The 15953-nt window shown below is 54.5% G+C and overlaps 2 protein-coding genes across 29 annotated transcripts in view, besides 4 other annotated features; one reads left to right on the plus strand and one right to left on the minus strand.

Moving 5' to 3' along the window:
- The window catches only part of DNASE1L1 (deoxyribonuclease 1 like 1), a 10866-nt gene extending 6580 nt beyond the window's left edge, over nucleotides 1-4286 (minus strand). For 2 of the 12 annotated variants that reach the window (XR_007068182.1, XM_017029332.2), the window contains exons 1-3: nucleotides 4076-4286; nucleotides 1603-3056; nucleotides 1297-1381 (exon numbers count right to left, since the gene is read on the minus strand). The gene's annotated coding sequence lies outside the window, so the exon portion shown is untranslated. Of the gene's footprint in view, nucleotides 1-742; nucleotides 1440-1602; nucleotides 3057-3302; nucleotides 3543-4075 lie in introns of those variants that run through there. The other 10 variants (XM_047441891.1, XM_047441890.1, NM_001009932.3 and 7 more) reach the window with 10 other exon arrangements.
- Nucleotides 3711-4250: a silencer, noted in NCBI's record as "silent region_21101". NCBI's record gives its function as "represses an Ori minimal core promoter by ATAC-STARR-seq in GM12878 lymphoblastoid cells {active_cell/tissue: GM12878}" and the evidence as "EXISTENCE:reporter gene assay evidence [ECO:0000049][PMID:35858748]".
- Nucleotides 3724-13911, plus strand: TAFAZZIN (tafazzin, phospholipid-lysophospholipid transacylase). 17 transcript variants are annotated; one of them, NM_001440856.1, is made up of 11 exons: nucleotides 3724-4191; nucleotides 4271-4399; nucleotides 5392-5437; nucleotides 5667-5752; nucleotides 6286-6375; nucleotides 11728-11808; nucleotides 11890-11931; nucleotides 12217-12279; nucleotides 12397-12449; nucleotides 12843-12920; nucleotides 13088-13911. In NM_001440856.1, exons 1-11 carry the CDS (start codon nucleotides 4029-4031, stop codon nucleotides 13187-13189), a joined length of 933 nt encoding a protein of 310 aa, NP_001427785.1. In that variant the 5' UTR covers nucleotides 3724-4028; the 3' UTR covers nucleotides 13190-13911. The 17 variants fall into 17 exon arrangements, 16 of the variants coding, with proteins under 16 accessions (NP_001427785.1, NP_000107.1, NP_001290394.1 ...); NM_000116.5 differs by having other exon boundaries at nucleotides 3724-4137; NR_024048.3 differs by lacking the exon at nucleotides 6286-6375 and having other exon boundaries at nucleotides 3724-4137; nucleotides 5392-5543.
- Nucleotides 5596-5769: a silencer, noted in NCBI's record as "fragment chrX:153641748-153641921 (GRCh37/hg19 assembly coordinates)". NCBI's record gives its function as "represses an EF-1alpha promoter that drives an FKBP-Casp9 reporter gene in an ReSE screen in K562 erythroleukemia cells {active_cell/tissue: K562}" and the evidence as "EXISTENCE:reporter gene assay evidence [ECO:0000049][PMID:32094911]".
- Nucleotides 11773-12274: an enhancer, noted in NCBI's record as "H3K4me1 hESC enhancer chrX:153647927-153648428 (GRCh37/hg19 assembly coordinates)". NCBI's record gives its function as "activates a minimal SCP1, AML or CMV promoter by ChIP-STARR-seq in naive H9 embryonic stem cells {active_cell/tissue: H9 hESC(naive)}" and the evidence as "EXISTENCE:reporter gene assay evidence [ECO:0000049][PMID:30033119]".
- Nucleotides 12275-12774: an enhancer, noted in NCBI's record as "H3K4me1 hESC enhancer chrX:153648429-153648928 (GRCh37/hg19 assembly coordinates)". NCBI's record gives its function as "activates a minimal SCP1, AML or CMV promoter by ChIP-STARR-seq in primed H9 embryonic stem cells {active_cell/tissue: H9 hESC(primed)}" and the evidence as "EXISTENCE:reporter gene assay evidence [ECO:0000049][PMID:30033119]".

Raw genomic sequence — 15953 nt, forward strand, 5'->3', positions numbered from 1 at the left:
AGGGCAGTAATGTGATCTCAGCTCACTGCAACCTCCACCTTCCAGGCTCAAGTGATGCTCTCACCTCAGCCTTCCGAGTAGATGGGACTACAGGTGCATGCTGCCACACCAAGCTAATTTTTTTTTTCTTTTTTTGAGATGGAGTCTCACTCTGTCTCCCAGGCTGGAGTGCAGTGGCTTGATCTCAGTTCACTGCAACCTCCGTCTCCCAGGCTCAAGAGATTATCCTGCCTCAGCCTCCCAAGTAGCTAGGATTACAGGCACGTGCCACCACACCCGGCTAATTTTTGTACTTTTAGTAGAGACAGGGTTTCACCATGTTGGCCAGGCTGGTCTCAAACTCCTGACCTCAAGTAATCCTCCCACCTCAGCCTCCCAAAGTGCTGGAATTACAGGTGTGAGCCACCGCGCCCGGCTACCAAGCTAATTTTTAAAATTTGTTTGGAGAGATGGGGTTTCACCATGTTGTTCCAAGACCCCAGTGCTTTTCGCCTCCATTAGCAACTACAGGAACATCTTCGTTCATCTCTGTCTCCCCACTTGTGAGATGTTCTCTTTAAGATAAACTCCCGGCAGTGAAGGGTGTGTGCATTTTAAAAGGTCTCAGATATGGCCAAATCATCCCCATTGCAACCTGTGATGGGGACTCTTTCCCATGCCCCTGCCACCACTGGGGAGCCCTTCTTGTTCATCTCACCAGCTGGAGCCCCCCTCTCTCAGTTTATCTTTGTCTCACACTCACCTGACCTTGCAGGGCTCGGCTCCTTGCTCCACGCCCTGTCCATGTGGCTTTTGCATCCTGAGGCATGAGTTCCTCTGCTCTGTCTGCCTGCTTTTCTCTATCAACCTGTCACCTTCCCTTCGGGCTCACTTCCTACCTCTCTGAGGCTCTGTCCGTCTCTGTCTCACTTTCCCTCTCGTCTCTGGTTTCCCTTCTCTGTCTCTCTGTTGCGGTGTCTCTCTCCTGGCTGGGTTTGATGTCTGTTTCTCCCTGACCACCTGCTCTGTCACTCATGCTAGTTTGGGTTCCCTACCCTGGTGCCTATTCTGGGATATACATGGGTATGTGGGCAGCCCTGGGCTGGCACATGCAGCCTTGGAGGCTCTGGCGTCAGGGACCCCCATGAGGGCTACCAGTAAGAACCAGAGAGAGCGACGGTTCCTGGCTTCAGCCCCAAACCCTGGCTGTCAATATCAGCCTTGGTGGGAGCCCTAGGCTTCCCTCTCCCTCTCAAACCCTCCCCAGGCAGAAGGCAACTTCCTCCCTTCTTCCGTCTCCCCAGGGGGCTCCCATACCTGCTCAGACCAGCTTGTCACCAAGTCTGCCTCATCCTTAAGTGGATCGCGATACCCCAGAAGAGCAGCTCCTGCCTGAATAGGGCTAGGAGGGGAAAAAAAAGAGGAAGAGGCTGTGTTCCTGAGCCACCCGGCCAGGAAGGGCCTGGCTGGGCCGGACGCCCCACCCTTGCCAACAGGCAGGCCCGCCCCGTCTCCGCCTCGCCGCCAACAAGGAGGACCAGCACCAGGCCTGGGAACTGCTGACCTGCCCGCCCACCTTCCCACCCAGACCCCGCCTTCCCGGGCCAGCGGGACATGACAGACCTGTGAGTCACTCAAGCCTGGGGCAAGGAGGGGCTGGTGCCTGAGTGAGACCCCGAGCTTCGCTCGCCAGGCCCGTCGCTCAGCTCCCGGTCTGGGTCCCCAGTCAGCAGTTGCTGGGGAAGGCGCAGGAGCTGGAAGTCATGCCTGATGCCACGAGACCGGGCACCCCAAGGGCGTGAGTCTTCTGTCCCTGTTGTTGGGTTCTGAGTCCCAGTGTGGCTGCACACTTCTGAGTTAGGGGTGTTTGATGCAAGCGCTCTGGAGACCCAAAGAGAGGGACAGTCCACACATGATCTGGCCACAGTCGTGAAGTCAAGGGAGGACTGAGGATCTGCCCCAGAGAGGAGGAGACCCAGGGAGCTGGCAGTCCAACGTCCTGGGGGTCCTGCAGTAATGCTGTTGGGACAAATGAGGTGCTCGGACAGGGTCTGTGAGCAGGAGGTGGGGCTGAATCCACTCAGCTTCTCATGGGATGGCTGTAGCTAATGGATTCGACGTGGTAATAGAAGGCTGGACAAATTTTAAAAAATCAATAAATTATGGGCTGGGCGTGGTGGCTCATGCCTGTAATCCCAGCACTTTGGGAGGCTGAGGCGGGTGGATACGAGGTCAGGCGTTCAAGACCAGCCTGGCCAACATAATGAAACCCGTTTCTACTAAAAATACAAAAAATTAGCCCGGCGTGGTGGTGGGCGCCTGTAATCCCAGCTACTCAGGAGGCTGAGGCAGGAGAATTGCTTGAGCCTGGAAGGCGGAGCTTGCAGTGAGCCGAGATCACACCACTGCACTCGCACTCCAGCCCGGGCGACAGTGCGAGACTCCATCTCAAAAAAAAAAATCAATAAATTATGGTTTAAAAATAAAAAACAGGCCAGGTAGGATGACTCACACTTTGGGAGGAGAGGCAGACAGATCACCTGAGGCCGGGAGTTCGAGACCAGCTTGACCAACATGAAGAAACCCAGCCTCTACTAAAAATACAAAAATTAGCCAGGTGTGGTGGCTTGCGCCTGTAATCCCAGCTACTCAGGAGGCTGAGACAGAAGAATCGCTTGAACCTGGGAGGCAGAGGTTGCAATGAGCTGAGATCTCGTCACTGCACTCCAGCCTGGGCAACAGAGCAAGACTCTGTCTCAAAAATAAAAATAAATAAAAATAAAAATAAAAAACTGCCGGGTGCGGTGGCCCATGCCTGTAATCCTAGCACTTTGGGAGGCTGAGGTGGGTGGACTGCCTGAGCTCAGGAGTTCGAGACCAACCTGGGCAACATGGTGAAACCCCATCTCTACTAAAATACAAAAAAAAAAAAAAATTAGCCGGGCGTGGCGACCTGCGCCTGTAGTCCCAGCTACTCAGGAGGCTGAGGCAGGAGAATAGCTTGAACCCGGGAGGCGGAGGTTGCAGTGAGCCGAGATTGTGCCACTGCACTCCAGTCTGGCGACAGAGCGAGACTCCTAAAAAAATAATAATAAATAAATAAATATAAAATAAAAATAAAAAACTGGCTGCTTAATGCATAGGGGGCTTTCTTTCCGGGTCATGAATATGTTTCAGAACTAGAGGTAGTAGCTGACATTGTGACTGTATCAGATGGTATAAAATACTGTTTCTTGTATTACATATGATACACAATATGTTTGTATATATTGCTGTATATATTGTATATTTTGCCATACAGTAGATTATACATTGCTACATACACATAGTATCATGTAGTACTGTAACTATGTCAAATTGTATATGTGGCTGGGCGGGGTGGCTCACGGCTGTCATCCCAACACTTTGGGAGGCCGAGGCGGGTGGATCAGAGTGTGATGGCGGGCGCCTGTGGTCCCAGCTACTCGGGAGGCTGAGGCAGGAGAATCGCTTGAGTCTGGGAGATCGAGGCTGCAGTGAGCCATGATCCCATCACTGCACTCCAGCCTGGGTCTGGCTGGACCCTGTGTCAAACAAAAAACAGAAACACTAGAGAGACAAAAGGCGAGCGCAGGAGGCTGCCAGGAAGCGGGAGCCCCACGGGGTGACGGCCACTTCCCGCCGCCCCGGGGCTGGCCTCGCTGCCGTCAAGCGGCCCGTGCGCGCTTTGCGACAGTCGGTCGGGCTGGGCACCGGCGCAGGTTCGCTTTCCGGCGGTTGCACCGGGCCGGGGTGCCAGCGCCCGCCTTCCCGTTTCCTCCCGTTCCGCAGCGCGCCCACGGCCTGTGACCCCGGCGACCGCTCCCCAGTGACGAGAGAGCGGGGCCGGGCGCTGCTCCGGCCTGACCTGCGAAGGGACCTCGGTCCAGTCCCCTGTTGCGCCGCGCCCCCGTCCGTCCGTGCGCGGGCCAGTCAGGGGCCAGTGTCTCGAGCGGTCGAGGTCGCAGACCTAGAGGCGCCCCACAGGCCGGCCCGGGGCGCTGGGAGCGCCGGCCGCGGGCCGGGTGGGGATGCCTCTGCACGTGAAGTGGCCGTTCCCCGCGGTGCCGCCGCTCACCTGGACCCTGGCCAGCAGCGTCGTCATGGGCTTGGTGGGCACCTACAGCTGCTTCTGGACCAGTGAGTGGGCCCAGGCCGAGGCAGGCCCGCCCGGGTACCCATGCCCGGCCGGAGGTGGGACTTAGGGTGGGGGACGCCGCGGCCCCGACCTAGCGGGCGAGCCCGGAGCGCCTGACTTCTCCTTCCCCGCCAGAGTACATGAACCACCTGACCGTGCACAACAGGGAGGTGCTGTACGAGCTCATCGAGAAGCGAGGCCCGGCCACGCCCCTCATCACCGTGTCCAATCACCAGTCCTGCATGGACGACCCTCATCTCTGGGGTACCCGGGCCAGTGTGCTGGGCAGGGGGAGGAAAGGCGAGGATTCGGGACGGGCCCAGCCTCGTCAGAACAAACCCCTTCTCGCTGCCTTTTCATGGAGCCCTGGCACTCCGGTTTCCGGGCGTTCTGCCCCAGGGCTGAGACTTGGATTTGTGGCTCCTGCAGCATCCCTGAGGGAGCATGATTTGGAGAGGGCCTTGGGCATGGAGCAGGACCAAGGAACGGCCACAGGGCATATCTTACAGCTCCTTTAACGTCAGGCCTCCAGAACCCTCTGTTCTCTAAACCATCCAGGGCCCCACAGTCTTGGGAAAAATTTGGGGGTTGGACATAGGATATCCTGTGAGGAAGTTCTGGGCCAGGGACTGGAAGCCCAGTGTCCTGGCTTCAGGTTTGCCCCTGGCTGGGCGTGTACCGTTCAGCCCTATTTGGGAGCCTGGTTGCCACACCTAGAGGTTCCTGCTCTGCTGACTTCACAGGAAGTTGCTTGGCTCTGGTAACCAGATGGCCGGGTGGAGGGGTGCCTGGGGCTTCCACTCCTGAACAGAGAGCTTAACTGTCCTAGAGTTCATGGGGAGCCACCTAGCCACACTGGAGCCCTTCAGAGCTCACCCTGGCTGCTGGGTGGAGAAAGGCCTATAGATGTCACAGGTGGATCCTGGGAGGCCAGGAAGGAGGACTTGGAGCCATCCACTAGCCTAGACTGGGCTGGTTGCAGTGACAGTACAGGGAGAAGTATAGAAGAATGGGCATTGTCCAAGTATGTTGGGGAGGTAGGCAGTCCAGGTGCAGTGATTAGTAAGATGTGGAGGGTGGGGGAGAGGGAGGAGCCAGGGAGAACTGAATGATCTGGCCTAAGGGTCTGAAAGATGCCACTTTGGGCTGTAGGGAAATGGTAGTGCTGCTGTCCCTCATTCCCTGAGATGGGGTGAAGGAAGGGCACTCCCTGGGGATATGGGAAGTTGGGGCATGAAGCCTTTCCTGTCCTCTAGGGATCCTGAAACTCCGCCACATCTGGAACCTGAAGTTGATGCGTTGGTGAGGAGGAATGGGCCCCTCGAAGTGGGCCGGGCCGGCCCCACCTGCCTCTGCCCAGATTTGCCCTCCTCCTGCTCTGCCCAGGAGGTGGCGTCCAGCAGTCCAGGCAGGGCATGGGGTGGGGCCCCGCAGGCCCTCCCCTGTGCCTCCCTTCTGCATGCTGATGCTGGGGGCAGGGTGGTGGAGCGGGGTGCAGGGGGCAGGACTAATTGCATCTGTCCCTGCTTAGGACCCCTGCAGCTGCAGACATCTGCTTCACCAAGGAGCTACACTCCCACTTCTTCAGCTTGGGCAAGTGTGTGCCTGTGTGCCGAGGTGAGCTGCTCCTCCAGCGAGTGCAGGGAGGCACTTCTGGGGCAGGAAAGCTGGTGGCCAGTGTCTCTGTTTTGGAGGGACCTATGGGGGTAGGCATCCCGGGAGCCAACATGAGGCCCAGCTCCATCACATGCCAGCAGAGGGGACAGAGGCTGTGGGAGGAGGGATGGGTCCTTGGAAAGTCCTCAACTCTCTGCAACTGCCCAGGGATCCTGTGGACCTGGAGCCTTGGCATTAGAATTCAAGGAGGCATTATCCATAACCCCTTCTCTCAGGGATGTCACTAAGAGACTCATTGAGAACAGTGCGTTGTCATTGGTCCATGGTGGCAGTAGCATGTACCTGCAGGCCAGAGGGTTTTGCTTCTAGGAGAACAAACAGGCTTGTGGGGTGAGAACCCCAGGGGATAGGGGCCATTTTGATCCCTATTCTCCAGACAGGGAGGATCACAGAGATTAAGCTGCTGGCCCAAGGTCATGGGGTAGGAGGTGGCAAAGCCAGGATTTGAATCCAGATTGCTCCTTCCTCTGCAGGAGCAGAATTTTTCCAAGCAGAGAATGAGGGGAAAGGTGTTCTAGACACAGGCAGGCACATGCCAGGTGCTGGAAAAAGAAGAGAGAAAGGTAAGCCAGGCATAGCGGTTCACACTTGTCATCCCAGCACTTTGTGAGGTCGAGGTGAGAGGATCACTCAAGCCCAGGAGTTTGAGACCAGCCTGGGCAACATAGTAAGACCCTGTCTCTTTAAAAATAAAAATATTTTAAACAAAAGAAAGGTAGAAAATATGAGTTGTATGTAGAATATGAAGGTTCTAGAATAATCCTATTAAGAATTTTGGATTCTGGCTGGGCGCGGTGGCTCACGCCTGTAATCCCAGCACTTTGGGAGGCTGAGGCCAGCGGATCACGAGGTCAGGAGATCGAGACCATCCTGGCTAACACGGTGAAACCCCGTCTCTACTAAAAATACAAAAAATTAGCTGGGCATGGTAGTGGGCGCCTGTAGTCCCAGCTACTCGGGAGGCTGAGGCAGGAGAATGGCGTGAACCCGGAAGGTGGAGCTTGCAGTGAGCCAAGATCACGCCACTGCACTCCAGCCTGGGTGACAGAGTGAGACTCCGTCTCAAAAAAAAAAAAAAAAGTGCCGGCCACGGTGGCTCATGCCTGTAATCCCAGCACTCTGGGAGGCCGAGGCGGGCGGATCACGAGGTCAGGAATTCGAGACCAGCCTAACCAACATGGTGAAACCCCGTCTCTACTAAAAATACAAAAATTAGCCGGGCGTGGTGGTGTGTGCCTGTAATCTCAGCTACTTGGGAGACTGAGACGGGAGCATTGCTTGAACCCGGGAGGTGGAGGTTGTGGTGAGCTGAGATCCTGCCATTGCACTCCAGCCTGGGCAATAAGAGCGAAACTCCGTCTGGAAAAAAAAAAAAAAAAAAAGAATTTTGAATTAGCTGGCTGCATTGGTGCATGCCTACAGTCCCAGCTCCTCAGGAGGCTGAGGTGGGAGGATCACTTGAGCCCTCGATTTTCTTTTTCCTTGAGACAATGTCTGTTTCTGTTGTCCAGGCTGGAGTGCCGTGGCGTGATGATGGCTCACTGCAGCTTCTGTTTCCTGGGTTCAAGGGATCCTGTCACCTCAGCCTCCTGAGCAGCTGGGACTAAGGAGTGTGCCCAGCTAATTCTTTTTTTTTTTTGGTAGAGTTGGGGTCTTACTACATTGCCAGGGCTGGTCTTGAACTCCTAGACTCAAGCGATCCTCCCGCCTCAGCCTCTCAAAGTGCTGGGATCACAGGCATGAGCCATTGTGCCCAACCCAGCCCAGGAATTTGAGGCCAGCCTGAGCAATATAGTGAGACCCCAGGTATAGATAGATAGGTAGATAGATAGGTAGGTAGGTAGGTAGATAGATAGATAGGTAGGTGGGTAGGTAGGTGGGTAGATAGGTAGGTAGGTACGTAGGTAGATAGATAGATAGATACATACATACATAGATAGATAAGATAGATAGATTGATTAGATAGATTAGATAGCCAGGTGGGGTGGCTCACGCCTGTAATCCCAGTGCTTTGGGAGGCTGAGGTGGGTGGATCACCTGAGGTCAGGAGTTTGAGACCAGCCTGGCTAATGTGGCGAAACCCTGTCTACTAAAAATACAAAAATTAGCTGGATGTGGTGGCGCACGCCTGTAATCTCAGCTACTCGGGAGGCTGGGGTGGGAGAATCGCTTGAACCCAGGAGGTGGAGGTTGCAGTGAGCTGAGATCATGCCACTGCACTCCAGCCTGGGCCACAGAGGGAGACCTGGTCTCAAAAAAAAAAAAAAAAAAAAAAAAGATTTTTGTATTTGACTGTGCTCTCTCATCCAGGTGGTGACATGCTTGTATCTGTGGTTAAGAGGTAGCATCTGCCAGGCGCGGTGGCTCATGCCTGTAATCCCAGTACTTTGCGAGGCCGAGGCGGGTGGTTCACCTGAGGTCAGGAGTTTGAGACCAGCCTGACCAACATGGCGAAACCCCGTCTCTACTAAAAATATAAAAATTAGCCGAGGCTGGGCGCGGTGGCTCACGCCTGTAATCCCAGCACTTTGGGAGGCCGAGGCGGGTGGATCACGAGGTCAGGAGATCGAGACCATCCTGGCTAACAGGATGAAACCCCGTCTCTACTAAAAACACAAAATTAGCTGGGCATGGTGGCAGGTGCCTGTAGTCCCAGCTACTCGGGAGGCTGAGGCAGGAGAATGGCACAAACCCGGGAGGCGGAGCTTGAGGCAGGAGAATGGCGTGAACCCGGGAGGCAGAGCTTGCTATGAGCAGAGATCGCGCCACTGCACTCCAGCCTGGGTGACAGAGCGAGACTCCGTCTCAAAAAAAAAAAAAAGAGAGAGATACCATTCCAGTTGCAATGTGGCTGCAGCAGGGCTAGGTGGACATGAGGAGCCCAGTTCAGGGCTGTCACAGTAGCTCCAGCAGCAGATGATTGTGGCTGGGCCTCCCAAGTGTCACGTTGGAGAACCGGAGAAGGGGACTTCTTTGGGATGTACTCTGGACTTGTTGATAGATTAAGTGTAGGTGGGGTGAGGAAGAGAACTCAAAGATGACACCAGGTGTTGGAGCTGAGCCACGGGGAGAAGGGTGCAAAGGGAAAGCAGTGCGGGGGCTGGGAGGGGAGAGGGTCAGTCCTGTTTTGCTTGTGCTGCATCTGAGGAGCCCCTCACCTGTGGAAGGAGAGCAGTCCCAGAGGCAGTGGGGTGTGCAGTTCTGGAACTTAGAAGAATGATCAGGGGGCTGGGTGCAGTGGCTCACGCCTGTAATCCCAGCACTTTGGGAGGCCGAGGCGGGCGGATCAAGAGGTCAGGAGATTGAGACCATCCTGGCTAACATGGTGAAACCCCGTCTCTACTAAAAATATAAAAAATTAGCAGCGCATGGTGGCAGGCACCTGTAGTCCCAGCTATTCAGGAGGCTGAGGCAGGAGAGTGGCGTGAACCCGGGAGACGGAGCTTGCAGTGAGCTGAGATTGCGCCACTGCACTCCAGCCTGGGCGACAGAGCGAGACTCCGTCTCAAAAAAAAAAAAAACAAAAAATTATCAGGAATAAAGATACTGGGAATTCAACCACAAAAACCACAAAGTCACGAATGCAGAGTGAGAGTCTTCAGAGAGAGGGCAGAGGCCCAGGATGGCACAGAGGGAGAGAGAAGCCACCAAGATGGCAGGGAGCCATGGCCAGAGAGAAAAGCAAACCAGGCGCCTGTGGCACCATGGAAGCAGCAGGTGATGCTGGAGAAGCGTTTCCATGCAGTGACAGCTGCCAGAGCCAGATTATTATGGCCTGAGGGCTGGTGGTGCTGCAGTTGGGGGGGAATGGAGACCGCAGCGGGGGAATGGAGACCGCAGGGGCGGCAACTCCTCCCAGAGGTTCAGTTTGGAGGAAAAAGAGACAGAAGGAAGGGTAACCAAAGGATATTAGAGGTCAAGGAGGGGTTTATTATTTCTAGCTGGTCAAAGTAGAATGTGGTAAAACCCAATAAAGTAACAGCAAATAACAAAGAGGGGCTTTTAATGGAAAGCTGCAGTGCCTGCCCCTCACCTCCCTAGCCCCACTCCTCAGAAGCAGCCCCCTGGAGCGGTTTCTCTTTCTGCTGCTTTTGGAGGCTACTTCTGTCTCTGTAAAGGAACTTCTGTCTCTGTAAAGGAACAAGCAGAGGCCACAGTGTCTTGGCAAATGACCGTGGCATTGTTTATCCCAACCTGCTCTGAGAGATGGGGACTCTGCTGATTCACCCCTCGTCCCTGCCTCTTTAGTTCCTTCAGCAAAGAACTAATAATATGTCATTAAGGCAAAGGCAGTATTTGGCACACTTGGCTTCTGTGTTCCAAAAAATTCCCTTTTTCTCCAAGCGTAGATTTTAATATGGTATTTAAGTATCAAAGTGATTTGACACAAGTGACACAAGTGAGCAGTAGTAGCATTTGCAAAAGCTACAAATGATGAAGTCTTGCTCCAAAAGCATATTATTATTATTTTTTAAATTCCAGTTTCAAGCTCAATGGATAGGTTGCGTCAGTGGGTTTTAGTAGAGAAGGGGCCAGTACCTATGAAGACTCCCCTGTACTATTACACATGCTGCGTCCCAAGTAGGGAAACTCCAGTGGGTCATCACCCCCTCCCTCTAGCCCAAGTGGGCTGCTGGGTCAGGGCACTGTTTGGGTTGGGTTGAGATTCCTGGATCCCTAACTAGCACCTTCCAAAGAATCGGCCTTGCAGAGAACAAAGTTCATTGCCAAAGGTATTCCCAATGTCTGTCTCTCGCTCTGTGATAGGGCTTCTTTACTCCCCACTTTATAAGATGAGGATATCTGCTATACCCCATTCCTTCAACCTCTCCACCTCTTTCCTCTTTTGTCTGCCATGTGATTACTTTTCCATCACCAAGGTTGATGAGATCCTTACTGTGTACTTACTGTCTCCAAGCATCCCCAGGCTTCCAGCCAGCACGCAGCAGCCAACATTGGCTTCAGAAGGAAGGAGGTTTGCATTTCCTTCTCTTGGGTCCAGTGCCATGGTCTCAGGGTTATCTCCAATGTGGAAAGTTGCTAGACCAGGAGCAGTTTGACTCCACTGTTTTTCAGTCTAGCAAGTTTGAGTTTTTCCCAAGCTCTTGATGTGTGTTCAAATGAATGTTCTCCCTTTCCCAAGAGACCTCCCTATAAGGGAGGGTCTAGTTTCCCGGGGTGCCCTGAGAAGAAGGGGTCAGCAGGGGGGAGGAATGGTGGAGGCTGAGGCCTCAGGCAGGTGCCCTGTGAGGAGTGGCTGTGACAAGCGGCTGAGATCCCAGCAAAGGGTTGTTGCCCAGAATCTGGGGCCTAAGCGAGGTTGGAAATCACAAATGCACTTGGTTTCTCTAGCAGCTGGCACATAGTAGGATCAGCCCAGGAGTGGCACCTTCAAAGAGAAAGGAACGCATGAGGCTCCGAGAGCGGTCGGCTGGCAGCCAGGGCCTGGCTGGGGAGGGAGGGCAGGTGGTGCGCTGACCTGGGGATCTTTGAGAGTGTGCAGGAGTATGTGGCTGAAGCGGCCCAGCTGGTGAGCCACTGAAGATGGGGGTCATAGGTAGATGGAGGAATTGCCAGGTCAGAATCTCGGTAGGAGATGACTTGAGCTGATGCTGCCTGGCACATAGGGGTTTAGAAGATATTAGGAAGGAAGCCCCACAGCGTGCCCAAGTGCCATGCAGGCCCTGGAGACGGTCATTGGAGGGCGTCTGTGGATGGCGCAGTGGGGGATGGGAAGTCCCTAATCTGCTGGGGCTTTCCCAGCAAGCAGGGACTGAGGGGGATAGTCCCCAACACATGGGCCCCAGGGAGAAGGGCCTGTTTCATTGAGGTTTGGAGAGTGTTGAGGGTAAGCTAACCTGTCACCCCACGCCCCCGAGAATGGTTACTGATAGGGAGAGGCCTTTTCCTTGCAGGAGATGGCGTCTACCAGAAGGGGATGGACTTCATTTTGGAGAAGCTCAACCATGGGGACTGGGTGCATATCTTCCCAGAAGGTCAGCAGGGCTGACTGGGTCGAGCCCCCCCAGTATGAGCGGGATGGGCTCCCAAGCCTCGCCTCTGTGCTCTCTCACCAGGGAAAGTGAACATGAGTTCCGAATTCCTGCGTTTCAAGTGGGGTAAGGGCTGCTGGTCTCTGGCCACAGCCATCCTCCCGGCCCAGAGATGGCCCTGTGGGCCCCTGGCTCCCGCCCCCTCGGGCTGGCTTGTATGGGGGTAGATGGGCGTGTTTGTAGCGCCAGGAAGGGGACAGGTGCTGAGACTAGGCCTGCCTCTCGCAGGGGCTTGCCCAAGGGAGCTGAATTGAACTGGAGGATGTCGGGGGTGGCAGTGGCCAGAGGCTGGCACAGAAGCTTGGCTCAGGGCCCAGCTTATGCTAACATTTCTACCTCCCCCCTGGGCAGGAATCGGGCGCCTGATTGCTGAGTGTCATCTCAACCCCATCATCCTGCCCCTGTGGCATGTCGGTGAGCCTGGGGACGGGGACAGAGAGATGGCATCTGGGGTGGGGGGCCTGGGACTCCCTCTGGTCCCAGGCTGCCCTGCTCCACCCCACGTCTGGCCTTCTGTCCACTGTGCTGCAGGAATGAATGACGTCCTTCCTAACAGTCCGCCCTACTTCCCCCGCTTTGGACAGGTGGGTGGGGACTGCTGACCTTCGGCTGTCTGCCTGTCTGCTGTCTGCTCCGTGTCTCCCACTCAGCACTATGGAGGCCAGCTGCAGGAGGAGCTGAGCATGAGGCTACAGCAGGGGACAGAGTGGAACATAGACAGGGACTTCCTGGCACCGAGACATTAAAATGAGAGCAGAGGAAGTCAGGCTGGGGCAGAGGTGGGCTGTGGGGTCAGGACAGGACAGGTCATCTACAGCACAGGACCCAGGACCAGGACCTTGTTTTAGAGGAAGAGTGGCCCCTGGGGAGTGTGTGGCACAGCAGGGCCGGGGCTTAGCTTCTGGCTCCCGGGTTGCTTGGGCTGGGGCTGTGGGCACTCCTACTGCTCCTCATCACTCTTGGCGGCCACCCCACAGAAAATCACTGTGCTGATCGGGAAGCCCTTCAGTGCCCTGCCTGTACTCGAGCGGCTCCGGGCGGAGAACAAGTCGGCTGTGAGTTTCCTCCTGGGTCCCCCGTAGCTGTCCCCGGACCCCCTGCTGCTGGCTTCCAGCAGGGTGCCTCCACCCTCTCCATCCCGTCACCCTCCCAGGGCACCCTCCCAGGGCACCTTGGCCAAGCTTCCCGAGGGGTGCAGGCCATCCCTGGTCCTTTCCCTCAGGTGGAGATGCGGAAAGCCCTGACGGACTTCATTCAAGAGGAATTCCAGCATCTGAAGACTCAGGCAGAGCAGCTCCACAACCACCTCCAGCCTGGGAGATAGGCCTTGCTTGCTGCCTTCTGGATTCTTGGCCCGCACAGAGCTGGGGCTGAGGGATGGACTGATGCTTTTAGCTCAAACGTGGCTTTTAGACAGATTTGTTCATAGACCCTCTCAAGTGCCCTCTCCGAGCTGGTAGGCATTCCAGCTCCTCCGTGCTTCCTCAGTTACACAAAGGACCTCAGCTGCTTCTCCCACTTGGCCAAGCAGGGAGGAAGAAGCTTAGGCAGGGCTCTCTTTCCTTCTTGCCTTCAGATGTTCTCTCCCAGGGGCTGGCTTCAGGAGGGAGCATAGAAGGCAGGTGAGCAACCAGTTGGCTAGGGGAGCAGGGGGCCCACCAGAGCTGTGGAGAGGGGACCCTAAGACTCCTCGGCCTGGCTCCTACCCACCGCCCTTGCCGAACCAGGAGCTGCTCACTACCTCCTCAGGGATGGCCGTTGGCCACGTCTTCCTTCTGCCTGAGCTTCCCCCCCACCACAGGCCCTTTCCTCAGGCAAGGTCTGGCCTCAGGTGGGCCGCAGGCGGGAAAAGCAGCCCTTGGCCAGAAGTCAAGCCCAGCCACGTGGAGCCTAGAGTGAGGGCCTGAGGTCTGGCTGCTTGCCCCCATGCTGGCGCCAACAACTTCTCCATCCTTTCTGCCTCTCAACATCACTTGAATCCTAGGGCCTGGGTTTTCATGTTTTTGAAACAGAACCATAAAGCATATGTGTTGGCTTGTTGTAAAATGTCTCTGGCCTCTCTGTAGGGGTGAAAATGGGAAGTGACTGCTGGACAGAAAGGCTGAACCCTTAGTGCCCTGGGGACATGGAGCACACTTGAGCAGATGGGCATCAACCTCTTCTGCACCAGTCACTTAAGGCTTCAGTTATTGTCTGTAATCCCTGTAACAACATTGCAGAAATAGGGATTAATCTCATTTTGCCAAGGAGGTGGAGTGAGGCTAATGAACTTGCTTCAAAACCCAAAGCTAGCCAGGTAGATTGGGGCCACACTTCAGAGAGACCCAAGTGTGGAGAATCAATTGGATCCTACCTGGGCTGCATCATAGGTGGGAGAGGAGCTCTGAAGAGCCCGGCAAGTAGCCAGCCATGAGCAGTGCACGCTGTGATCAGGAGGTAGGATTGGGGTTGCCCAGATGGAGCTGGGGGTCCTGGGTGGGAGCAAAGGCAAATCCAGGGTGGTGGCGTAGACACAGTATTAAAAATACTATAACAGAAACGTGGAAAGAAAGAAAATATAGAACCACCAAAGATGAGCCAGCAACAAGAGAAGATTCAGACAACCAGGTCTTTCAGCAGTGTTGGTGCCTAATTATTTCAAAATAAAAGGTTTTTAAAAAAATGACCAAAAAGGGAAAAAAATTACCTGGGAAAAAACAAACACTTGTAATTAAATATAGATAGAAGCAGCTGGGCACCATGGCTCACGCCTGTAATCCCAACACTTTAGGAAGCCAAGGTGGGCGGATCATTTGAAGTCAGGAGTTCGAGACCAACCTGGCCAACATGGTGAAACCCCATCTCTACTAAAATACAAAAATTAGGCCAGTCGCAGTGGCTCACACCTGTAATCCCAACACTTTAGGAGGCCGAGGCAGGCAGATCACCTGAGGTCAGGAGTTTGAGACCAGCCTGACCAACATGGAGAAACCCCGTCTCTACTGAAAATACAAAATTAGCAGGGCATGGTAGCGCATGCCTGTAATCCCAGCTACTTGGGAAGGCTGAGGCAGAAGAATCGCTTGAACCTGGGAGGCGGAGGTTGCGGTGAGCCGAGATCGAGCCATTGCACTCCAGCCTGGGAAACAGCAGCGAAACTCCGTCTCAAAAAAAGAAAAAAAAAAGGCTGGGCCTGGTGGCTCACACCTGTAATCCAAGCACTTTGGGAGGCCGAGGCAGGCAGATCACGAGGTCAGGAGATCGAGACCATCCTGGCTAACATGGTGAAACCCCGTCTCTACTAAAAATACAAAAAAATTAGCCAGGCGTGGTGGCGGGTGCCTGTAGTCCCAGCTACTCTGGAGGCTGAGGCAGGAGAATGGCGTGAACCCGGGAGGCGGAGCTTGCAGTGAGCCAAGATCACACCACTGCACTCCAGCCTGGTCGACAGAGTGAGACTCCGTCTCAAAAACAAACAAAAAACCCCCAAAAAATTAGCTGGCGTGATGGCGCACGCCTGTAATCCCAGCTACTCAGGAGGCTGAGGCAGGAGAATCACTTGAACCCAAGAGGCAGAGGTTGCAATGAGCTGAGATCGTGCCACTGGACTCCAGCCTGGGCGATAGAGGGAGACTTCATCTCAAAAAACAAACAAACAAATAAACAAACAAAAAAACACACCAGACACAGTGGCTCATGCCTGTAATCCAGCACTTTGGGAGGCCGAGGCAGGCAGATCACAAGGTCAGGAGATCGAGACCATCCTGGCTAACATGGTGAAACCCCATCTCTACTAAAAATACAAAAAAAAAAAAAAAAAAAATTAGCCAGGCGTGGTGGCAGGTGCCTGTAGTCCCAGCTGGAGGCTGAGGCAGGATAATGGCGTAAACCCAGGAGGTGGAGCTTACAGTGAGCCGAGATCGTGCCACTGCACTCCAGCCTGGGCAACAGAGCGAGACTCCGTCTCAAAAAAAAAAAAAAATTAAAAATAAAAGAAAGAAAAAGGAATATTTTGATACATGCTATCAAATGGATACTCTCAAAGGATTTTCAAGAAACATTATGTTAACTGCAATAAGCCGGAAACAAAAGGCTGCATATTATATGAT

Source organism: Homo sapiens, chromosome X, assembly GCF_000001405.40.
Source record: "Homo sapiens chromosome X, GRCh38.p14 Primary Assembly".
NCBI lineage: Eukaryota > Metazoa > Chordata > Mammalia > Primates > Hominidae > Homo > Homo sapiens.

Coding starts and splice junctions, on each gene's coding strand:
- TAFAZZIN (NM_001440856.1), top strand. CDS start 4,029: ATGCCTCTGCACGTGAAGTGGCCGTTCCCCGCGGTGCCGCCGCTCACC. Junction 5,753..6,285: donor GTGTGTGCCTGTGTGCCGAG/GTGAGCTGCTCC, acceptor CTTCCTCTGCAG/GAGCAGAATTTTTCCAAGCA. Junction 12,280..12,396: donor CCTGCCCCTGTGGCATGTCG/GTGAGCCTGGGG, acceptor ACTGTGCTGCAG/GAATGAATGACGTCCTTCCT.